Source organism: Homo sapiens, chromosome 4 (genome assembly GCF_000001405.40).
Source record: "Homo sapiens chromosome 4, GRCh38.p14 Primary Assembly".
Lineage (NCBI taxonomy): Eukaryota > Metazoa > Chordata > Mammalia > Primates > Hominidae > Homo > Homo sapiens.
The window spans coordinates 9,322,917-9,347,088 of record NC_000004.12 but is presented as its reverse complement, the minus strand read 5'-3'; the positions used below and the strand labels follow the sequence as shown (position 1 = coordinate 9,347,088).

Below are 24,172 nucleotides of genomic sequence, written 5' to 3'. Positions count from 1 at the left end.
ACAGGGAGAAAGGAGCCACCATTTTCAGGAGAATGATCCCCAGAAGCATGAGCAATGCAGATGCCGAGGCTTCACACAAGACCCTGGAGGGTCTTATTCCTGCAGCCGGGACCTGGGCATCGGTGTGCTTGAATGCTCATAACCGATTTTGAGGGGAGCCCAATCGATAAGCTGTCTGCCAGTCATGCTCATCACACTGTAGTTTTCACACACGTCACACGGAGACCCTGTTCGTATGCACATTTGGGTGCTTGAGCAGGGTTGCGCCCAAGATTCTGTGGTTCTACGGAGCCCTGAGTTGTGCCCTGGGCAGCTTTCCTCTGGGGTTGGTCAACTTTGATCACTGTACCTGACGAGAAAGGGACCATGAAGTCTAATCAGCAAATAGAGAAAAGGAAGGGGCCATTTCCCACAATCATTTCCACGGAAACACCACGTCGGATCAATAAGTCTCACTGCGGGACAGGGACTGTGCTTCAGAGATGCAGCTTTCGCAGCTGGACAAATGACCCAGAAATTCCCCAAATGCCATTTTTAAACACACCCAGTGAGATTGATTGCAGGGCTTTCTGAATTTATTTCAGTTGAATACACACACTCCTGTGTTTGCTTTCCTTTATTATCAATACAGCTTACTTCCAGATGACTTACATGCCCGTGGGAAAATTTTCCGTTTCGACTCATGGGAAGCGGGCACCGTGAAACAGGCAAGTCGGTCTGTCCGCTTCCGGCGTTATGTGGGTTCCAGCAAGAGCACAAGTCCCAGGGCGCCTGAGGTCCATTCAGGAACCAGTGTAAAAACGGCGAGCCCGGGGAAGAAAGAAGAGCACCGTTCTTCTCTTCCAAATGCATTCCAGTTTCCACTATTCAAGGTGGCGAGAATGATCCACGGATGTCCCACATGAGCCACATTTCACCTTCTCATGCCGACCAACAACTGACGAATGAAACACACCCCAAGAGAAAATACGAAACCGAGTCCCCTGCAATTACCTCACACGCAAACCTACACGTCGGTAGGTCATATTCAGAAATACACACTGAATGTCACCTATCATGAACACAAACACTCAGACAGTCCCTCCAGAGGTTCGGAAGACTCACGACCCCAAAACTTGATGTTTCCCATATGCGGGCTCATCCTGAGATGTAGCCATCACTATCCAGTTGTCCCTGTTGTAGAGACAGAAACTTGGGCTCCTCATTAGTTTATGTAGGATTGACGGTGTTCGTGTTTGTGTGGGTGTGTGTGTGTTTGCGTGCGCGCTTCTGGGTGTAGTTATGTGTGTGTCTGTGTGTGTGCGTGTGTGTGTGCACCCCTACGTGTGGGTCGGTACTTCCACTGAGATCACTGGCACACAAGCAGAGCCCTCTTGCTGTGTTTGTTCTTCCCTTTGGATCTCCTGGCCCTCCCTCGCAGGGAAGCGAGTGTGCCAGTGTTCATGGACTCCTGATGTGTCGGGGTCGACGAAGAGAGGTTTAGCAGGGAGCTTTGCTGTTCAGGATGATGGTTCTTCATCCCACACTTGTATTTTGATTGATGAATCACAAGTACGTCGGGAGGCAGGGTACCTTCGACTTTTCTGACGTTGAACTCAGGCTTCGTTTTGTTTTGCTCTTGAAGGAATTTCCAGTGGTCTAAGGTGCTTTCCTGAGTGGCTCTTTCCACCAAGTGCTCGTCCAACTCGGGGGCCTGGAGGCAGGGGTGGTCTCTCTTGAGCTCTCCTTGCGTTGCTCGCCTGTCGGTGTCTTCTGCGCCAAGGGCTCTTGGTTCCCTGCCTCTTGACACACTCTCACTGTGTCTTTCCCATTCACTCTTCTGGATGTAAAAGAGGACGTAGGCCTGTTGACTCAGGACAGAAGTGATGCTAGAGGCGGTGACCTCGGCATCATCCATTTTATACCACTGGCCTTCTTGAGCTTTGACATAAGAGAAGTAATGTCCGTTGTGACAACTCCACCCAGCGTGGACCAGCACAGCATAGAGGACATAGACGAGAGGTCCTGTGTTCGGCTGAGACATGTATGGCTGCATGTCAAGGCACTCAGGATATTGCACATTCTTGGCAATCTTGTTGCCTGTGACATCGGAGAATCTCTTCAATACAAGGATGAGGACCTTGGCAGAGGTGTGTAAAGTTAACGTCTTGGAGGCCGGCGCCCTCTGGAGACAAACACCACAATGATAGGCATTCTCTCCATTGAGTTCTTCGGGCTTCACCAACTGTTCCAAAGCTTGCTGGACACTCTGAGCTGCCTGGATATCCAGGGCGATGTCCAGGTAAGGGTCAAAAGTGTCTGAAATGCCGTGGCAGTGGAGACACTTGATTTGAGATCTCCAGTAGCCTCCAAATATTTGGTGGATGAGGGTGGTGTCCTTAGAGTGATGATCTACCTGCTTGTGCCCGGGAAGGCATGCCTTTTTCATGGCATCCACAGTGAACATGAGAAATTCATGGGCATCTTCCTGCTTGCCTCTATGGAAGCCAGCAGCCAATGCCTGTGAGGGCTGGATGACGTGGCCAGGATTGTGGAGGGCCCGTGTGATGTGAGCTTGCATAGTACAGAGCATGCAGCCCTTGTGACGATGACACGTTTGAGAGTGCTCCCGGGACAGCATGTAGTTGGCAAGGGGCGGTGTGTATGTCAGGCACTGCAAGGAAGCGTTCACGTAGCAGGTATTTCCCATATTCTGGAGCCCAGCCCCCACCGCAGCAGGTCTCCTGCTACTCAGAGGAAGCTTCTCCCTGGGAGCAAGCTGTCTTGCCACAGGAGCCAAATCATCACAGAGGTCGACACGGGTCTCACATGAGAGTGGTGACTTCTCAGGGAGAGAAGTCCGCTGGATTTCAGCAAAAGCTGCATCGGGCCGAGAAGATGTGAGTTTTGAAAAGTGGTTGAACTGCCACTCACCTCTCAAGTAGAGTGAGTCGTCCTCCATGTCGACTGGAACGAGGATCACAAGGTTTGTCTGCTGGGACCGCAGGTTGCAGAAAGACGCTATCCCTTCCGAGAGAGTCTTCAAATGACGAGCTCTCTGGCCGCATCAGCCCTTCTGTAAGTCACCCCCACCAACCGCGAACACCCCACCCACTCATCAGGTGCGCGATAAGCCAATCAAATATCAGCACTCAATTCAGGAAGGAGTCACAGGGTGTGTCCCCTGGCATCGCTGGGAATTCAACAGACACAGCCCACAGCATGACTTCCAGAACACCTGAATCAAATTACTCCTCAGGATGATAGGCACATATAATAGGAGTGTATCCGGGTTGGGACAGTGGCCTCACAGTTGCCTTATTTTAGGTAAAGCAATGGCAGGGAAGAAATCTTTACCTAGGAAACCGTGTGCGTGTGTGTGTGTGAGTGTGTTTGTGTGTGTGGGGGGGGGGCGTGTGTGTGTGTGTGTTTGTGCTGGGATGAACCTCCAAGTAGGTACTTTTGGCAGCTGCCATCATCCTCTCAGCGAAGGAAGGACAAGAAGTCGAAAGTGCGCTTTCTGACCTGAGAATAGTCAATGAAGTATAGTATTTAGCACAGCGTATTTTCTTCCCTAGTGAGAAAGGAGAGATCCGTGGAATCAAACAGACCTTCCAGCGATAACCTTTCCACGTTGAGCCTATTGATTCTCTGTCCGAGTGAAATTACCTGCCAGTGGAGAACAAGACAAGTCTTTGCATGAAATGCTCTTGTGGAAGCTAGATTGCCAAATAATAAAGCATCAAATGGTAGAAACATGCACTGAAGTTTGAAGAGATACTCAGTGCACAAAGTAGACTGTGAAAGCCTTTGGGGAAATCATGCAATCCCCGAGAGACTAATTGATGACAATCCCCAAATTTATGTTTGCCAGAAAAGAGAGACGGTCATGACACCGCATAGTGAGCGGTTTCGGACGTGCGACGGCAGTTTAAGAAAACACGAAACAAAAAACTTGAGAACTCAGAAGGTATCCCAGCTATAACCTTTTGTTTATTAAGGAATTGATGAAAATAAAAACAACGTATCTCACAGCATGTGTGATAATATTTCCATACGTATGTGATAATGGATCAACGTTTCCTAGAGATGAAATAAAAAGTTCTAATTTGGACAAAAGCAAACAAGGAAAATTATACCGTAGAAAAGCCCGGCTGACGGAAGTGAGGCCCTGTCTCAGGGAGAAACATCGGAGACGTTTAAAAGCAGGGAGTGAAACAGAGGATAGCGTGCCATTTTTAATACTGGCCCTTGTTTCAGTGGGAAAAGGCCAAAATAAGCCGTGCATATCCTGGATTCTCGCATCGATCGTTCAGGATCGGAGATGTTGCCTCCATTTCCAGTTACGCATTGTATGGTGGAATTGCAGTTAGCACATTTGGTGCCAAAATTGTAATGCTGCCGAAAGTGGACATGTTCCCTGAAGTAAGAGGGACAGAATTTGGGTGTGTCTTCCGGCTGTCTGGCTTAGCAGGAATGAAGATCCTGGCTCTAGGGATTTTCCCAACATGTCTTAGACGGTAAGGAACAGGGCGGAATTGAGGCCCGGCGCCAAGGCCTCTAGGTGTAAAGAAACAGCCCTGGCTTCAGGGCCCATGAAATTAGGATGATTTTAAGGAGGATGATGGGATGAGAGGACTGTGACCTTTGGCCCCGTTTCTTTCCCTTGTCTTTTCATGGGCCAGGTGTGCTCCATCAGAAGGCTTCCTGTGCCGGATGTAAAGTGTCCTGGGGGAAGAAAAGAGCGCTGCTTAGAAAGATGCTCCACAGGGAGAAAGGAGCCACCATTTTCAGGAGAATGATCCCCAGAAGCATGAGCAATGCAGATGCCGAGGCTTCACACAAGACCCTGGAGGGTCTTATTCCTGCAGCCGGGACCTGGGCATCGGTGTGCTTGAATGCTCATAACCGATTTTGAGGGGAGCCCAATCGATAAGCTGTCTGCCAGTCATGCTCATCACACTGTAGTTTTCACACACGTCACACGGAGACCCTGTTCGTATGCACATTTGGGTGCTTGAGCAGGGTTGCGCCCAAGATTCTGTGGTTCTACGGAGCCCTGAGTTGTGCCCTGGGCAGCTTTCCTCTGGGGTTGGTCAACTTTGATCACTGTACCTGACGAGAAAGGGACCATGAAGTCTAATCAGCAAATAGAGAAAAGGAAGGGGCCATTTCCCACAATCATTTCCACGGAAACACCACGTCGGATCAATAAGTCTCACTGCGGGACAGGGACTGTGCTTCAGAGATGCAGCTTTCGCAGCTGGACAAATGACCCAGAAATTCCCCAAATGCCATTTTTAAACACACCCAGTGAGATTGATTGCAGGGCTTTCTGAATTTATTTCAGTTGAATACACACACTCCTGTGTTTGCTTTCCTTTATTATCAATACAGCTTACTTCCAGATGACTTACATGCCCGTGGGAAAATTTTCCGTTTCGACTCATGGGAAGCGGGCACCGTGAAACAGGCAAGTCGGTCTGTCCGCTTCCGGCGTTATGTGGGTTCCAGCAAGAGCACAAGTCCCAGGGCGCCTGAGGTCCATTCAGGAACCAGTGTAAAAACGGCGAGCCCGGGGAAGAAAGAAGAGCACCGTTCTTCTCTTCCAAATGCATTCCAGTTTCCACTATTCAAGGTGGCGAGAATGATCCACGGATGTCCCACATGAGCCACATTTCACCTTCTCATGCCGACCAACAACTGACGAATGAAACACACCCCAAGAGAAAATACGAAACCGAGTCCCCTGCAATTACCTCACACGCAAACCTACACGTCGGTAGGTCATATTCAGAAATACACACTGAATGTCACCTATCATGAACACAAACACTCAGACAGTCCCTCCAGAGGTTCGGAAGACTCACGACCCCAAAACTTGATGTTTCCCATATGCGGGCTCATCCTGAGATGTAGCCATCACTATCCAGTTGTCCCTGTTGTAGAGACAGAAACTTGGGCTCCTCATTAGTTTATGTAGGATTGACGGTGTTCGTGTTTGTGTGGGTGTGTGTGTGTTTGCGTGCGCGCTTCTGGGTGTAGTTATGTGTGTGTCTGTGTGTGTGCGTGTGTGTGTGCACCCCTACGTGTGGGTCGGTACTTCCACTGAGATCACTGGCACACAAGCAGAGCCCTCTTGCTGTGTTTGTTCTTCCCTTTGGATCTCCTGGCCCTCCCTCGCAGGGAAGCGAGTGTGCCAGTGTTCATGGACTCCTGATGTGTCGGGGTCGACGAAGAGAGGTTTAGCAGGGAGCTTTGCTGTTCAGGATGATGGTTCTTCATCCCACACTTGTATTTTGATTGATGAATCACAAGTACGTCGGGAGGCAGGGTACCTTCGACTTTTCTGACGTTGAACTCAGGCTTCGTTTTGTTTTGCTCTTGAAGGAATTTCCAGTGGTCTAAGGTGCTTTCCTGAGTGGCTCTTTCCACCAAGTGCTCGTCCAACTCGGGGGCCTGGAGGCAGGGGTGGTCTCTCTTGAGCTCTCCTTGCGTTGCTCGCCTGTCGGTGTCTTCTGCGCCAAGGGCTCTTGGTTCCCTGCCTCTTGACACACTCTCACTGTGTCTTTCCCATTCACTCTTCTGGATGTAAAAGAGGACGTAGGCCTGTTGACTCAGGACAGAAGTGATGCTAGAGGCGGTGACCTCGGCATCATCCATTTTATACCACTGGCCTTCTTGAGCTTTGACATAAGAGAAGTAATGTCCGTTGTGACAACTCCACCCAGCGTGGACCAGCACAGCATAGAGGACATAGACGAGAGGTCCTGTGTTCGGCTGAGACATGTATGGCTGCATGTCAAGGCACTCAGGATATTGCACATTCTTGGCAATCTTGTTGCCTGTGACATCGGAGAATCTCTTCAATACAAGGATGAGGACCTTGGCAGAGGTGTGTAAAGTTAACGTCTTGGAGGCCGGCGCCCTCTGGAGACAAACACCACAATGATAGGCATTCTCTCCATTGAGTTCTTCGGGCTTCGCCAACTGTTCCAAAGCTTGCTGGACACTCTGAGCTGCCTGGATATCCAGGGCGATGTCCAGGTAAGGGTCAAAAGTGTCTGAAATGCCGTGGCAGTGGAGACACTTGATTTGAGATCTCCAGTAGCCTCCAAATATTTGGTGGATGAGGGTGGTGTCCTTAGAGTGATGATCTACCTGCTTGTGCCCGGGAAGGCATGCCTTTTTCATGGCATCCACAGTGAACATGAGAAATTCATGGGCATCTTCCTGCTTGCCTCTATGGAAGCCAGCAGCCAATGCCTGTGAGGGCTGGATGACGTGGCCAGGATTGTGGAGGGCCCGTGTGATGTGAGCTTGCATAGTACAGAGCATGCAGCCCTTGTGACGATGACACGTTTGAGAGTGCTCCCGGGACAGCATGTAGTTGGCAAGGGGCGGTGTGTATGTCAGGCACTGCAAGGAAGCGTTCACGTAGCAGGTATTTCCCATATTCTGGAGCCCAGCCCCCACCGCAGCAGGTCTCCTGCTACTCAGAGGAAGCTTCTCCCTGGGAGCAAGCTGTCTTGCCACAGGAGCCAAATCATCACAGAGGTCGACACGGGTCTCACATGAGAGTGGTGACTTCTCAGGGAGAGAAGTCCGCTGGATTTCAGCAAAAGCTGCATCGGGCCGAGAAGATGTGAGTTTTGAAAAGTGGTTGAACTGCCACTCACCTCTCAAGTAGAGTGAGTCGTCCTCCATGTCGACTGGAACGAGGATCACAAGGTTTGTCTGCTGGGACCGCAGGTTGCAGAAAGACGCTATCCCTTCCGAGAGAGTCTTCAAATGACGAGCTCTCTGGCCGCATCAGCCCTTCTGTAAGTCACCCCCACCAACCGCGAACACCCCACCCACTCATCAGGTGCGCGATAAGCCAATCAAATATCAGCACTCAATTCAGGAAGGAGTCACAGGGTGTGTCCCCTGGCATCGCTGGGAATTCAACAGACACAGCCCACAGCATGACTTCCAGAACACCTGAATCAAATTACTCCTCAGGATGATAGGCACATATAATAGGAGTGTATCCGGGTTGGGACAGTGGCCTCACAGTTGCCTTATTTTAGGTAAAGCAATGGCAGGGAAGAAATCTTTACCTAGGAAACCGTGTGCGTGTGTGTGTGTGAGTGTGTTTGTGTGTGTGGGGGGGGGGCGTGTGTGTGTGTGTGTTTGTGCTGGGATGAACCTCCAAGTAGGTACTTTTGGCAGCTGCCATCATCCTCTCAGCGAAGGAAGGACAAGAAGTCGAAAGTGCGCTTTCTGACCTGAGAATAGTCAATGAAGTATAGTATTTAGCACAGCGTATTTTCTTCCCTAGTGAGAAAGGAGAGATCCGTGGAATCAAACAGACCTTCCAGCGATAACCTTTCCACGTTGAGCCTATTGATTCTCTGTCCGAGTGAAATTACCTGCCAGTGGAGAACAAGACAAGTCTTTGCATGAAATGCTCTTGTGGAAGCTAGATTGCCAAATAATAAAGCATCAAATGGTAGAAACATGCACTGAAGTTTGAAGAGATACTCAGTGCACAAAGTAGACTGTGAAAGCCTTTGGGGAAATCATGCAATCCCCGAGAGACTAATTGATGACAATCCCCAAATTTATGTTTGCCAGAAAAGAGAGACGGTCATGACACCGCATAGTGAGCGGTTTCGGACGTGCGACGGCAGTTTAAGAAAACACGAAACAAAAAACTTGAGAACTCAGAAGGTATCCCAGCTATAACCTTTTGTTTATTAAGGAATTGATGAAAATAAAAACAACGTATCTCACAGCATGTGTGATAATATTTCCATACGTATGTGATAATGGATCAACGTTTCCTAGAGATGAAATAAAAAGTTCTAATTTGGACAAAAGCAAACAAGGAAAATTATACCGTAGAAAAGCCCGGCTGACGGAAGTGAGGCCCTGTCTCAGGGAGAAACATCGGAGACGTTTAAAAGCAGGGAGTGAAACAGAGGATAGCGTGCCATTTTTAATACTGGCCCTTGTTTCAGTGGGAAAAGGCCAAAATAAGCCGTGCATATCCTGGATTCTCGCATCGATCGTTCAGGATCGGAGATGTTGCCTCCATTTCCAGTTACGCATTGTATGGTGGAATTGCAGTTAGCACATTTGGTGCCAAAATTGTAATGCTGCCGAAAGTGGACATGTTCCCTGAAGTAAGAGGGACAGAATTTGGGTGTGTCTTCCGGCTGTCTGGCTTAGCAGGAATGAAGATCCTGGCTCTAGGGATTTTCCCAACATGTCTTAGACGGTAAGGAACAGGGCGGAATTGAGGCCCGGCGCCAAGGCCTCTAGGTGTAAAGAAACAGCCCTGGCTTCAGGGCCCATGAAATTAGGATGATTTTAAGGAGGATGATGGGATGAGAGGACTGTGACCTTTGGCCCCGTTTCTTTCCCTTGTCTTTTCATGGGCCAGGTGTGCTCCATCAGAAGGCTTCCTGTGCCGGATGTAAAGTGTCCTGGGGGAAGAAAAGAGCGCTGCTTAGAAAGATGCTCCACAGGGAGAAAGGAGCCACCATTTTCAGGAGAATGATCCCCAGAAGCATGAGCAATGCAGATGCCGAGGCTTCACACAAGACCCTGGAGGGTCTTATTCCTGCAGCCGGGACCTGGGCATCGGTGTGCTTGAATGCTCATAACCGATTTTGAGGGGAGCCCAATCGATAAGCTGTCTGCCAGTCATGCTCATCACACTGTAGTTTTCACACACGTCACACGGAGACCCTGTTCGTATGCACATTTGGGTGCTTGAGCAGGGTTGCGCCCAAGATTCTGTGGTTCTACGGAGCCCTGAGTTGTGCCCTGGGCAGCTTTCCTCTGGGGTTGGTCAACTTTGATCACTGTACCTGACGAGAAAGGGACCATGAAGTCTAATCAGCAAATAGAGAAAAGGAAGGGGCCATTTCCCACAATCATTTCCACGGAAACACCACGTCGGATCAATAAGTCTCACTGCGGGACAGGGACTGTGCTTCAGAGATGCAGCTTTCGCAGCTGGACAAATGACCCAGAAATTCCCCAAATGCCATTTTTAAACACACCCAGTGAGATTGATTTCAGGGCTTTCTGAATTTATTTCAGTTGAATACACACACTCCTGTGTTTGCTTTCCTTTATTATCAATACAGCTTACTTCCAGATGACTTACATGCCCGTGGGAAAATTTTCCGTTTCGACTCATGGGAAGCGGGCACCGTGAAACAGGCAAGTCGGTCTGTCCGCTTCCGGCGTTATGTGGGTTCCAGCAAGAGCACAAGTCCCAGGGCGCCTGAGGTCCATTCAGGAACCAGTGTAAAAACGGCGAGCCCGGGGAAGAAAGAAGAGCACCGTTCTTCTCTTCCAAATGCATTCCAGTTTCCACTATTCAAGGTGGCGAGAATGATCCACGGATGTCCCACATGAGCCACATTTCACCTTCTCATGCCGACCAACAACTGACGAATGAAACACACCCCAAGAGAAAATACGAAACCGAGTCCCCTGCAATTACCTCACACGCAAACCTACACGTCGGTAGGTCATATTCAGAAATACACACTGAATGTCACCTATCATGAACACAAACACTCAGACAGTCCCTCCAGAGGTTCGGAAGACTCACGACCCCAAAACTTGATGTTTCCCATATGCGGGCTCATCCTGAGATGTAGCCATCACTATCCAGTTGTCCCTGTTGTAGAGACAGAAACTTGGGCTCCTCATTAGTTTATGTAGGATTGACGGTGTTCGTGTTTGTGTGGGTGTGTGTGTGTTTGCGTGCGCGCTTCTGGGTGTAGTTATGTGTGTGTCTGTGTGTGTGCGTGTGTGTGTGCACCCCTACGTGTGGGTCGGTACTTCCACTGAGATCACTGGCACACAAGCAGAGCCCTCTTGCTGTGTTTGTTCTTCCCTTTGGATCTCCTGGCCCTCCCTCGCAGGGAAGCGAGTGTGCCAGTGTTCATGGACTCCTGATGTGTCGGGGTCGACGAAGAGAGGTTTAGCAGGGAGCTTTGCTGTTCAGGATGATGGTTCTTCATCCCACACTTGTATTTTGATTGATGAATCACAAGTACGTCGGGAGGCAGGGTACCTTCGACTTTTCTGACGTTGAACTCAGGCTTCGTTTTGTTTTGCTCTTGAAGGAATTTCCAGTGGTCTAAGGTGCTTTCCTGAGTGGCTCTTTCCACCAAGTGCTCGTCCAACTCGGGGGCCTGGAGGCAGGGGTGGTCTCTCTTGAGCTCTCCTTGCGTTGCTCGCCTGTCGGTGTCTTCTGCGCCAAGGGCTCTTGGTTCCCTGCCTCTTGACACACTCTCACTGTGTCTTTCCCATTCACTCTTCTGGATGTAAAAGAGGACGTAGGCCTGTTGACTCAGGACAGAAGTGATGCTAGAGGCGGTGACCTCGGCATCATCCATTTTATACCACTGGCCTTCTTGAGCTTTGACATAAGAGAAGTAATGTCCGTTGTGACAACTCCACCCAGCGTGGACCAGCACAGCATAGAGGACATAGACGAGAGGTCCTGTGTTCGGCTGAGACATGTATGGCTGCATGTCAAGGCACTCAGGATATTGCACATTCTTGGCAATCTTGTTGCCTGTGACATCGGAGAATCTCTTCAATACAAGGATGAGGACCTTGGCAGAGGTGTGTAAAGTTAACGTCTTGGAGGCCGGCGCCCTCTGGAGACAAACACCACAATGATAGGCATTCTCTCCATTGAGTTCTTCGGGCTTCACCAACTGTTCCAAAGCTTGCTGGACACTCTGAGCTGCCTGGATATCCAGGGCGATGTCCAGGTAAGGGTCAAAAGTGTCTGAAATGCCGTGGCAGTGGAGACACTTGATTTGAGATCTCCAGTAGCCTCCAAATATTTGGTGGATGAGGGTGGTGTCCTTAGAGTGATGATCTACCTGCTTGTGCCCGGGAAGGCATGCCTTTTTCATGGCATCCACAGTGAACATGAGAAATTCATGGGCATCTTCCTGCTTGCCTCTATGGAAGCCAGCAGCCAATGCCTGTGAGGGCTGGATGACGTGGCCAGGATTGTGGAGGGCCCGTGTGATGTGAGCTTGCATAGTACAGAGCATGCAGCCCTTGTGACGATGACACGTTTGAGAGTGCTCCCGGGACAGCATGTAGTTGGCAAGGGGCGGTGTGTATGTCAGGCACTGCAAGGAAGCGTTCACGTAGCAGGTATTTCCCATATTCTGGAGCCCAGCCCCCACCGCAGCAGGTCTCCTGCTACTCAGAGGAAGCTTCTCCCTGGGAGCAAGCTGTCTTGCCACAGGAGCCAAATCATCACAGAGGTCGACACGGGTCTCACATGAGAGTGGTGACTTCTCAGGGAGAGAAGTCCGCTGGATTTCAGCAAAAGCTGCATCGGGCCGAGAAGATGTGAGTTTTGAAAAGTGGTTGAACTGCCACTCACCTCTCAAGTAGAGTGAGTCGTCCTCCATGTCGACTGGAACGAGGATCACAAGGTTTGTCTGCTGGGACCGCAGGTTGCAGAAAGACGATATCCCTTCCGAGAGAGTCTTCAAATGACGAGCTCTCTGGCCGCATCAGCCCTTCTGTAAGTCACCCCCACCAACCGCGAACACCCCACCCACTCATCAGGTGCGCGATAAGCCAATCAAATATCAGCACTCAATTCAGGAAGGAGTCACAGGGTGTGTCCCCTGGCATCGCTGGGAATTCAACAGACACAGCCCACAGCATGACTTCCAGAACACCTGAATCAAATTACTCCTCAGGATGATAGGCACATATAATAGGAGTGTATCCGGGTTGGGACAGTGGCCTCACAGTTGCCTTATTTTAGGTAAAGCAATGGCAGGGAAGAAATCTTTACCTAGGAAACCGTGTGCGTGTGTGTGTGTGAGTGTGTTTGTGTGTGTGGGGGGGGGGGGCGTGTGTGTGTGTGTGTTTGTGCTGGGATGAACCTCCAAGTAGGTACTTTTGGCAGCTGCCATCATCCTCTCAGCGAAGGAAGGACAAGAAGTCGAAAGTGCGCTTTCTGACCTGAGAATAGTCAATGAAGTATAGTATTTAGCACAGCGTATTTTCTTCCCTAGTGAGAAAGGAGAGATCCGTGGAATCAAACAGACCTTCCAGCGATAACCTTTCCACGTTGAGCCTATTGATTCTCTGTCCGAGTGAAATTACCTGCCAGTGGAGAACAAGACAAGTCTTTGCATGAAATGCTCTTGTGGAAGCTAGATTGCCAAATAATAAAGCATCAAATGGTAGAAACATGCACTGAAGTTTGAAGAGATACTCAGTGCACAAAGTAGACTGTGAAAGCCTTTGGGGAAATCATGCAATCCCCGAGAGACTAATTGATGACAATCCCCAAATTTATGTTTGCCAGAAAAGAGAGACGGTCATGACACCGCATAGTGAGCGGTTTCGGACGTGCGACGGCAGTTTAAGAAAACACGAAACAAAAAACTTGAGAACTCAGAAGGTATCCCAGCTATAACCTTTTGTTTATTAAGGAATTGATGAAAATAAAAACAACGTATCTCACAGCATGTGTGATAATATTTCCATACGTATGTGATAATGGATCAACGTTTCCTAGAGATGAAATAAAAAGTTCTAATTTGGACAAAAGCAAACAAGGAAAATTATACCGTAGAAAAGCCCGGCTGACGGAAGTGAGGCCCTGTCTCAGGGAGAAACATCGGAGACGTTTAAAAGCAGGGAGTGAAACAGAGGATAGCGTGCCATTTTTAATACTGGCCCTTGTTTCAGTGGGAAAAGGCCAAAATAAGCCGTGCATATCCTGGATTCTCGCATCGATCGTTCAGGATCGGAGATGTTGCCTCCATTTCCAGTTACGCATTGTATGGTGGAATTGCAGTTAGCACATTTGGTGCCAAAATTGTAATGCTGCCGAAAGTGGACATGTTCCCTGAAGTAAGAGGGACAGAATTTGGGTGTGTCTTCCGGCTGTCTGGCTTAGCAGGAATGAAGATCCTGGCTCTAGGGATTTTCCCAACATGTCTTAGACGGTAAGGAACAGGGCGGAATTGAGGCCCGGCGCCAAGGCCTCTAGGTGTAAAGAAACAGCCCTGGCTTCAGGGCCCATGAAATTAGGATGATTTTAAGGAGGATGATGGGATGAGAGGACTGTGACCTTTGGCCCCGTTTCTTTCCCTTGTCTTTTCATGGGCCAGGTGTGCTCCATCAGAAGGCTTCCTGTGCCGGATGTAAAGTGTCCTGGGGGAAGAAAAGAGCGCTGCTTAGAAAGATGCTCCACAGGGAGAAAGGAGCCACCATTTTCAGGAGAATGATCCCCAGAAGCATGAGCAATGCAGATGCCGAGGCTTCACACAAGACCCTGGAGGGTCTTATTCCTGCAGCCGGGACCTGGGCATCGGTGTGCTTGAATGCTCATAACCGATTTTGAGGGGAGCCCAATCGATAAGCTGTCTGCCAGTCATGCTCATCACACTGTAGTTTTCACACACGTCACACGGAGACCCTGTTCGTATGCACATTTGGGTGCTTGAGCAGGGTTGCGCCCAAGATTCTGTGGTTCTACGGAGCCCTGAGTTGTGCCCTGGGCAGCTTTCCTCTGGGGTTGGTCAACTTTGATCACTGTACCTGACGAGAAAGGGACCATGAAGTCTAATCAGCAAATAGAGAAAAGGAAGGGGCCATTTCCCACAATCATTTCCACGGAAACACCACGTCGGATCAATAAGTCTCACTGCGGGACAGGGACTGTGCTTCAGAGATGCAGCTTTCGCAGCTGGACAAATGACCCAGAAATTCCCCAAATGCCATTTTTAAACACACCCAGTGAGATTGATTTCAGGGCTTTCTGAATTTATTTCAGTTGAATACACACACTCCTGTGTTTGCTTTCCTTTATTATCAATACAGCTTACTTCCAGATGACTTACATGCCCGTGGGAAAATTTTCCGTTTCGACTCATGGGAAGCGGGCACCGTGAAACAGGCAAGTCGGTCTGTCCGCTTCCGGCGTTATGTGGGTTCCAGCAAGAGCACAAGTCCCAGGGCGCCTGAGGTCCATTCAGGAACCAGTGTAAAAACGGCGAGCCCGGGGAAGAAAGAAGAGCACCGTTCTTCTCTTCCAAATGCATTCCAGTTTCCACTATTCAAGGTGGCGAGAATGATCCACGGATGTCCCACATGAGCCACATTTCACCTTCTCATGCCGACCAACAACTGACGAATGAAACACACCCCAAGAGAAAATACGAAACCGAGTCCCCTGCAATTACCTCACACGCAAACCTACACGTCGGTAGGTCATATTCAGAAATACACACTGAATGTCACCTATCATGAACACAAACACTCAGACAGTCCCTCCAGAGGTTCGGAAGACTCACGACCCCAAAACTTGATGTTTCCCATATGCGGGCTCATCCTGAGATGTAGCCATCACTATCCAGTTGTCCCTGTTGTAGAGACAGAAACTTGGGCTCCTCATTAGTTTATGTAGGATTGACGGTGTTCGTGTTTGTGTGGGTGTGTGTGTGTTTGCGTGCGCGCTTCTGGGTGTAGTTATGTGTGTGTCTGTGTGTGTGCGTGTGTGTGTGCACCCCTACGTGTGGGTCGGTACTTCCACTGAGATCACTGGCACACAAGCAGAGCCCTCTTGCTGTGTTTGTTCTTCCCTTTGGATCTCCTGGCCCTCCCTCGCAGGGAAGCGAGTGTGCCAGTGTTCATGGACTCCTGATGTGTCGGGGTCGACGAAGAGAGGTTTAGCAGGGAGCTTTGCTGTTCAGGATGATGGTTCTTCATCCCACACTTGTATTTTGATTGATGAATCACAAGTACGTCGGGAGGCAGGGTACCTTCGACTTTTCTGACGTTGAACTCAGGCTTCGTTTTGTTTTGCTCTTGAAGGAATTTCCAGTGGTCTAAGGTGCTTTCCTGAGTGGCTCTTTCCACCAAGTGCTCGTCCAACTCGGGGGCCTGGAGGCAGGGGTGGTCTCTCTTGAGCTCTCCTTGCGTTGCTCGCCTGTCGGTGTCTTCTGCGCCAAGGGCTCTTGGTTCCCTGCCTCTTGACACACTCTCACTGTGTCTTTCCCATTCACTCTTCTGGATGTAAAAGAGGACGTAGGCCTGTTGACTCAGGACAGAAGTGATGCTAGAGGCGGTGACCTCGGCATCATCCATTTTATACCACTGGCCTTCTTGAGCTTTGACATAAGAGAAGTAATGTCCGTTGTGACAACTCCACCCAGCGTGGACCAGCACAGCATAGAGGACATAGACGAGAGGTCCTGTGTTCGGCTGAGACATGTATGGCTGCATGTCAAGGCACTCAGGATATTGCACATTCTTGGCAATCTTGTTGCCTGTGACATCGGAGAATCTCTTCAATACAAGGATGAGGACCTTGGCAGAGGTGTGTAAAGTTAACGTCTTGGAGGCCGGCGCCCTCTGGAGACAAACACCACAATGATAGGCATTCTCTCCATTGAGTTCTTCGGGCTTCACCAACTGTTCCAAAGCTTGCTGGACACTCTGAGCTGCCTGGATATCCAGGGCGATGTCCAGGTAAGGGTCAAAAGTGTCTGAAATGCCGTGGCAGTGGAGACACTTGATTTGAGATCTCCAGTAGCCTCCAAATATTTGGTGGATGAGGGTGGTGTCCTTAGAGTGATGATCTACCTGCTTGTGCCCGGGAAGGCATGCCTTTTTCATGGCATCCACAGTGAACATGAGAAATTCATGGGCATCTTCCTGCTTGCCTCTATGGAAGCCAGCAGCCAATGCCTGTGAGGGCTGGATGACGTGGCCAGGATTGTGGAGGGCCCGTGTGATGTGAGCTTGCATAGTACAGAGCATGCAGCCCTTGTGACGATGACACGTTTGAGAGTGCTCCCGGGACAGCATGTAGTTGGCAAGGGGCGGTGTGTATGTCAGGCACTGCAAGGAAGCGTTCACGTAGCAGGTATTTCCCATATTCTGGAGCCCAGCCCCCACCGCAGCAGGTCTCCTGCTACTCAGAGGAAGCTTCTCCCTGGGAGCAAGCTGTCTTGCCACAGGAGCCAAATCATCACAGAGGTCGACACGGGTCTCACATGAGAGTGGTGACTTCTCAGGGAGAGAAGTCCGCTGGATTTCAGCAAAAGCTGCATCGGGCCGAGAAGATGTGAGTTTTGAAAAGTGGTTGAACTGCCACTCACCTCTCAAGTAGAGTGAGTCGTCCTCCATGTCGACTGGAACGAGGATCACAAGGTTTGTCTGCTGGGACCGCAGGTTGCAGAAAGACGCTATCCCTTCCGAGAGAGTCTTCAAATGACGAGCTCTCTGGCCGCATCAGCCCTTCTGTAAGTCACCCCCACCAACCGCGAACACCCCACCCACTCATCAGGTGCGCGATAAGCCAATCAAATATCAGCACTCAATTCAGGAAGGAGTCACAGGGTGTGTCCCCTGGCATCGCTGGGAATTCAACAGACACAGCCCACAGCATGACTTCCAGAACACCTGAATCAAATTACTCCTCAGGATGATAGGCACATATAATAGGAGTGTATCCGGGTTGGGACAGTGGCCTCACAGTTGCCTTATTTTAGGTAAAGCAATGGCAGGGAAGAAATCTTTACCTAGGAAACCGTGTGCGTGTGTGTGTGTGAGTGTGTTTGTGTGTGTGGGGGGGGGGGCGTGTGTGTGTGTGTGTTTGTGCTGGGATGAACCTCCAAGTAGGTACTTTTGGCAGCTGCCATCATCCTCTCAGCGAAGGAAGGACAAGAAGTCGAAAGTGCGCTTTCTGACCTGAGAATAGTCAATGAAGTATAGTATTTAGCACAGCGTATTTTCTTCCCTAGTGAGAAAGGAGAGATCCGTGGAATCAAACAGACCTTCCAGCGATAACCTTTCCACGTTGAGCCTATTGATTCTCTGTCCGAGTGAAATTACCTGCCAGTGGAGAACAAGACAAGTCTTTGCATGAAATGCTCTTGTGGAAGCTAGATTGCCAAATAATAAAGCATCAAATGGTAGAAACATGCACTGAAGTTTGAAGAGATACTCAGTGCACAAAGTAGACTGTGAAAGCCTTTGGGGAAATCATGCAATCCCCGAGAGACTAATTGATGACAATCCCCAAATTTATGTTTGCCAGAAAAGAGAGACGGTCATGACACCGCATAGTGAGCGGTTTCGGACGTGCGACGGCAGTTTAAGAAAACACGAAACAAAAAACTTGAGAACTCAGAAGGTATCCCAGCTATAACCTTTTGTTTATTAAGGAATTGATGAAAATAAAAACAACGTATCTCACAGCATGTGTGATAATATTTCCATACGTATGTGATAATGGATCAACGTTTCCTAGAGATGAAATAAAAAGTTCTAATTTGGACAAAAGCAAACAAGGAAAATTATACCGTAGAAAAGCCCGGCTGACGGAAGTGAGGCCCTGTCTCAGGGAGAAACATCGGAGACGTTTAAAAGCAGGGAGTGAAACAGAGGATAGCGTGCCATTTTTAATACTGGCCCTTGTTTCAGTGGGAAAAGGCCAAAATAAGCCGTGCATATCCTGGATTCTCGCATCGATCGTTCAGGATCGGAGATGTTGCCTCCATTTCCAGTTACGCATTGTATGGTGGAATTGCAGTTAGCACATTTGGTGCCAAAATTGTAATGCTGCCGAAAGTGGACATGTTCCCTGAAGTAAGAGGGACAGAATTTGGGTGTGTCTTCCGGCTGTCTGGCTTAGCAGGAATGAAGATCCTGGCTCTAGGGATTTTCCCAACATGTCTTAGACGGTAAGGAACAGGGCGGAATTGAGGCCCGGCGCCAAGGCCTCTAGGTGTAAAGAAACAGCCCTGGCTTCAGGGCCCATGAAATTAGGATGATTTTAAGGAGGATGATGGGATGAGAGGACTGTGACCTTTGGCCCCGTTTCTTTCCCTTGTCTTTTCATGGGCCAGGTGTGCTCCATCAGAAGGCTTCCTGTGCCGGATGTAAAGTGTCCTGGGGGAAGAAAAGAGCGCTGCTTAGAAAGATGCTCCACAGGGAGAAAGGAGCCACCATTTTCAGGAGAATGATCCCCAGAAGCATGAGCAATGCAGATGCCGAGGCTTCACACAAGACCCTGGAGGGTCTTATTCCTGCAGCCGGGACCTGGGCATCGGTGTGCTTGAATGCTCATAACCGATTTTGAGGGGAGCCCAATCGATAAGCTGTCTGCCAGTCATGCTCATCACACTGTAGTTTTCACACACGTCACACGGAGACCCTGTTCGTATGCACATTTGGGTGCTTGAGCAGGGTTGCGCCCAAGATTCTGTGGTTCTACGGAGCCCTGAGTTGTGCCCTGGGCAGCTTTCCTCTGGGGTTGGTCAACTTTGATCACTGTACCTGACGAGAAAGGGACCATGAAGTCTAATCAGCAAATAGAGAAAAGGAAGGGGCCATTTCCCACAATCATTTCCACGGAAACACCACGTCGGATCAATAAGTCTCACTGCGGGACAGGGACTGTGCTTCAGAGATGCAGCTTTCGCAGCTGGACAAATGACCCAGAAATTCCCCAAATGCCATTTTTAAACACACCCAGTGAGATTGATTTCAGGGCTTTCTGAATTTATTTCAGTTGAATACACACACTCCTGTGTTTGCTTTCCTTTATTATCAATACAGCTTACTTCCAGATGACTTACATGCCCGTGGGAAAATTTTCCGTTTCGACTCATGGGAAGCGGGCACCGTGAAACAGGCAAGTCGGTCTGTCCGCTTCCGGCGTTATGTGGGTTCCAGCAAGAGCACAAGTCCCAGGGCGCCTGAGGTCCATTCAGGAACCAGTGTAAAAACGGCGAGCCCGGGGAAGAAAGAAGAGCACCGTTCTTCTCTTCCAAATGCATTCCAGTTTCCACTATTCAAGGTGGCGAGAATGATCCACGGATGTCCCACATGAGCCACATTTCACCTTCTCATGCCGACCAACAACTGACGAATGAAACACACCCCAAGAGAAAATACGAAACCGAGTCCCCTGCAATTACCTCACACGCAAACCTACACGTCGGTAGGTCATATTCAGAAATACACACTGAATGTCACCTATCATGAACACAAACACTCAGACAGTCCCTCCAGAGGTTCGGAAGACTCACGACCCCAAAACTTGATGTTTCCCATATGCGGGCTCATCCTGAGATGTAGCCATCACTATCCAGTTGTCCCTGTTGTAGAGACAGAAAGTTGGGCTCCTCATTAGTTTATGTAGGATTGACGGTGTTCGTGTTTGTGTGGGTGTGTGTGTGTTTGCGTGCGCGCTTCTGGGTGTAGTTATGTGTGTGTCTGTGTGTGTGCGTGTGTGTGTGCACCCCTACGTGTGGGTCGGTACTTCCACTGAGATCACTGGCACACAAGCAGAGCCCTCTTGCTGTGTTTGTTCTTCCCTTTGGATCTCCTGGCCCTCCCTCGCAGGGAAGCGAGTGTGCCAGTGTTCATGGACTCCTGATGTGTCGGGGTCGACGAAGAGAGGTTTAGCAGGGAGCTTTGCTGTTCAGGATGATGGTTCTTCATCCCACACTTGTATTTTGATTGATGAATCACAAGTACGTCGGGAGGCAGGGTACCTTCGACTTTTCTGACGTTGAACTCAGGCTTCGTTTTGTTTTGCTCTTGAAGGAATTTCCAGTGGTCTAAGGTGCTTTCCTGAGTGGCTCTTTCCACCAAGTGCTCGTCCAACTCGGGGGCCTGGAGGCAGGGGTGGTCTCTCTTGAGCTCTCCTTGCGTTGCTCGCCTGTCGGTGTCTTCTGCGCCAAGGGCTCTTGGTTCCCTGCCTCTTGACACACTCTCACTGTGTCTTTCCCATTCACTCTTCTGGATGTAAAAGAGGACGTAGGCCTGTTGACTCAGGACAGAAGTGATGCTAGAGGCGGTGACCTCGGCATCATCCATTTTATACCACTGGCCTTCTTGAGCTTTGACATAAGAGAAGTAATGTCCGTTGTGACAACTCCACCCAGCGTGGACCAGCACAGCATAGAGGACATAGACGAGAGGTCCTGTGTTCGGCTGAGACATGTATGGCTGCATGTCAAGGCACTCAGGATATTGCACATTCTTGGCAATCTTGTTGCCTGTGACATCGGAGAATCTCTTCAATACAAGGATGAGGACCTTGGCAGAGGTGTGTAAAGTTAACGTCTTGGAGGCCGGCGCCCTCTGGAGACAAACACCACAATGATAGGCATTCTCTCCATTGAGTTCTTCGGGCTTCACCAACTGTTCCAAAGCTTGCTGGACACTCTGAGCTGCCTGGATATCCAGGGCGATGTCCAGGTAAGGGTCAAAAGTGTCTGAAATGCCGTGGCAGTGGAGACACTTGATTTGAGATCTCCAGTAGCCTCCAAATATTTGGTGGATGAGGGTGGTGTCCTTAGAGTGATGATCTACCTGCTTGTGCCCGGGAAGGCATGCCTTTTTCATGGCATCCACAGTGAACATGAGAAATTCATGGGCATCTTCCTGCTTGCCTCTATGGAAGCCAGCAGCCAATGCCTGTGAGGGCTGGATGACGTGGCCAGGATTGTGGAGGGCCCGTGTGATGTGAGCTTGCATAGTACAGAGCATGCAGCCCTTGTGACGATGACACGTTTGAGAGTGCTCCCGGGACAGCATGTAGTTGGCAAGGGGCGGTGTGTATGTCAGGCACTGCAAGGAAGCGTTCACGTAGCAGGTATTTCCCATATTCTGGAGCCCAGCCCCCACCGCAGCAGGTCTCCTGCTACTCAGAGGAAGCTTCTCCCTGGGAGCAAGCTGTCTTGCCACAGGAGCCAAATCATCACAGAGGTCGACACGGGTCTCACATGAGAGTGGTGACTTCTCAGGGAGAGAAGTCCGCTGGATTTCAGCAAAAGCTGCATCGGGCCGAGAAGATGTGAGTTTTGAAAAGTGGTTGAACTGCCACTCACCTCTCAAGTAGAGTGAGTCGTCCTCCATGTCGACTGGAACGAGGATCACAAGGTTTGTCTGCTGGGACCGCAGGTTGCAGAAAGACGCTATCCCTTCCGAGAGAGTCTTCAAATGACGAGCTCTCTGGCCGCATCAGCCCTTCTGTAAGTCACCCCCACCAACCGCGAACACCCCACCCACTCATCAGGTGCGCGATAAGCCAATCAAATATCAGCACTCAATTCAGGAAGGAGTCACAGGGTGTGTCCCCTGGCATCGCTGGGAATTCAACAGACACAGCCCACAGCATGACTTCCAGAACACCTGAATCAAATTACTCCTCAGGATGATAGGCACATATAATAGGAGTGTAACCGGGTTGGGACAGTGGCCTCACAGTTGCCTTATTTTAGGTAAAGCAATGGCAGGGAAGAAATCTTTACCTAGGAAACCGTGTGCGTGTGTGTGTGTGAGTGTGTTTGTGTGTGTGTGGGGGGGGCGTGTGTGTGTGTGTGTTTGTGCTGGGATGAACCTCCAAGTAGGTACTTTTGGCAGCTGCCATCATCCTCTCAGCGAAGGAAGGACAAGAAGTCGAAAGTGCGCTTTCTGACCTGAGAATAGTCAATGAAGTATAGTATTTAGCACAGCGTATTTTCTTCCCTAGTGAGAAAGGAGAGATCCGTGGAATCAAACAGACCTTCCAGCGATAACCTTTCCACGTTGAGCCTATTGATTCTCTGTCCGAGTGAAATTACCTGCCAGTGGAGAACAAGACAAGTCTTTGCATGAAATGCTCTTGTGGAAGCTAGATTGCCAAATAAGAAAGCATCAAATGGTAGAAACATGCACTGAAGTTTGAAGAGATACTCAGTGCACAAAGTAGACTGTGAAAGCCTTTGGGGAAATCATGCAATCCCCGAGAGACTAATTGATGACAATCCCCAAATTTATGTTTGCCAGAAAAGAGAGACGGTCATGACACCGCATAGTGAGCGGTTTCGGACGTGCGACGGCAGTTTAAGAAAACACGAAACAAAAAACTTGAGAACTCAGAAGGTATCCCAGCTATAACCTTTTGTTTATTAAGGAATTGATGAAAATAAAAACAACGTATCTCACAGCATGTGTGATAATATTTCCATACGTATGTGATAATGGATCAACGTTTCCTAGAGATGAAATAAAAAGTTCTAATTTGGACAAAAGCAAACAAGGAAAATTATACCGTAGAAAAGCCCGGCTGACGGAAGTGAGGCCCTGTCTCAGGGAGAAACATCGGAGACGTTTAAAAGCAGGGAGTGAAACAGAGGATAGCGTGCCATTTTTAATACTGGCCCTTGTTTCAGTGGGAAAAGGCCAAAATAAGCCGTGCATATCCTGGATTCTCGCATCGATCGTTCAGGATCGGAGATGTTGCCTCCATTTCCAGTTACGCATTGTATGGTGGAATTGCAGTTAGCACATTTGGTGCCAAAATTGTAATGCTGCCGAAAGTGGACATGTTCCCTGAAGTAAGAGGGACAGAATTTGGGTGTGTCTTCCGGCTGTCTGGCTTAGCAGGAATGAAGATCCTGGCTCTAGGGATTTTCCCAACATGTCTTAGACGGTAAGGAACAGGGCGGAATTGAGGCCCGGCGCCAAGGCCTCTAGGTGTAAAGAAACAGCCCTGGCTTCAGGGCCCATGAAATTAGGATGATTTTAAGGAGGATGATGGGATGAGAGGACTGTGACCTTTGGCCCCGTTTCTTTCCCTTGTCTTTTCATGGGCCAGGTGTGCTCCATCAGAAGGCTTCCTGTGCCGGATGTAAAGTGTCCTGGGGGAAGAAAAGAGCACTGCTTAGAAAGATGCTCCACAGGGAGAAAGGAGCCACCATTTTCAGGAGAATGATCCCCAGAAGCATGAGCAATGCAGATGCCGAGGCTTCACACAAGACCCTGGAGGGTCTTATTCCTGCAGCCGGGACCTGGGCATCGGTGTGCTTGAATGCTCATAACCGATTTTGAGGGGAGCCCAATCGATAAGCTGTCTGCCAGTCATGCTCATCACACTGTAGTTTTCACACACGTCACACGGAGACCCTGTTCGTATGCACATTTGGGTGCTTGAGCAGGGTTGCGCCCAAGATTCTGTGGTTCTACGGAGCCCTGAGTTGTGCCCTGGGCAGCTTTCCTCTGGGGTTGGTCAACTTTGATCACTGTACCTGACGAGAAAGGGACCATGAAGTCTAATCAGCAAATAGAGAAAAGGAAGGGGCCATTTCCCACAATCATTTCCACGGAAACACCACGTCGGATC

The 24,172-nt window shown here is 49.6% G+C and overlaps 5 protein-coding genes across 5 annotated transcripts; all 5 read right to left on the bottom strand.

Moving 5' to 3' along the window:
* Positions 1-1,348: 1,348 nt before the first annotated feature.
* Positions 1,349-2,941, bottom strand: USP17L27 (ubiquitin specific peptidase 17 like family member 27). Its single transcript, NM_001242330.1, has one exon. The coding sequence runs from the start codon at positions 2,939-2,941 to the stop codon at positions 1,349-1,351; it is 1,593 nt and encodes a 530-aa protein (NP_001229259.1).
* A 3,152-nt stretch (positions 2,942-6,093) lies between these two features.
* On the bottom strand, positions 6,094-7,686 carry USP17L5 (ubiquitin specific peptidase 17 like family member 5). Its single transcript, NM_001242329.1, has one exon. The coding sequence runs from the start codon at positions 7,684-7,686 to the stop codon at positions 6,094-6,096; it is 1,593 nt and encodes a 530-aa protein (NP_001229258.1).
* Positions 7,687-10,838: 3,152 nt separating this feature from the next.
* USP17L26 (ubiquitin specific peptidase 17 like family member 26) lies at positions 10,839-12,431 on the bottom strand. Its single transcript, NM_001242328.1, has one exon. The coding sequence runs from the start codon at positions 12,429-12,431 to the stop codon at positions 10,839-10,841; it is 1,593 nt and encodes a 530-aa protein (NP_001229257.1).
* A 3,154-nt stretch (positions 12,432-15,585) lies between these two features.
* On the bottom strand, positions 15,586-17,178 carry USP17L25 (ubiquitin specific peptidase 17 like family member 25). The gene has a single exon (NM_001242326.1). It carries the CDS (start codon positions 17,176-17,178, stop codon positions 15,586-15,588), a length of 1,593 nt encoding a protein of 530 aa, NP_001229255.1.
* Positions 17,179-20,331: 3,153 nt separating this feature from the next.
* Positions 20,332-21,924, bottom strand: USP17L24 (ubiquitin specific peptidase 17 like family member 24). Its single transcript, NM_001242327.1, has one exon. The coding sequence runs from the start codon at positions 21,922-21,924 to the stop codon at positions 20,332-20,334; it is 1,593 nt and encodes a 530-aa protein (NP_001229256.1).
* Between the last annotated feature and the right edge of the window lie 2,248 nt (positions 21,925-24,172).

Coding starts and splice junctions, on each gene's coding strand:
- USP17L27 (NM_001242330.1), bottom strand. CDS start 2,941: ATGGAGGACGACTCACTCTACTTGAGAGGTGAGTGGCAGTTCAACCAC.
- USP17L5 (NM_001242329.1), bottom strand. CDS start 7,686: ATGGAGGACGACTCACTCTACTTGAGAGGTGAGTGGCAGTTCAACCAC.
- USP17L26 (NM_001242328.1), bottom strand. CDS start 12,431: ATGGAGGACGACTCACTCTACTTGAGAGGTGAGTGGCAGTTCAACCAC.
- USP17L25 (NM_001242326.1), bottom strand. CDS start 17,178: ATGGAGGACGACTCACTCTACTTGAGAGGTGAGTGGCAGTTCAACCAC.
- USP17L24 (NM_001242327.1), bottom strand. CDS start 21,924: ATGGAGGACGACTCACTCTACTTGAGAGGTGAGTGGCAGTTCAACCAC.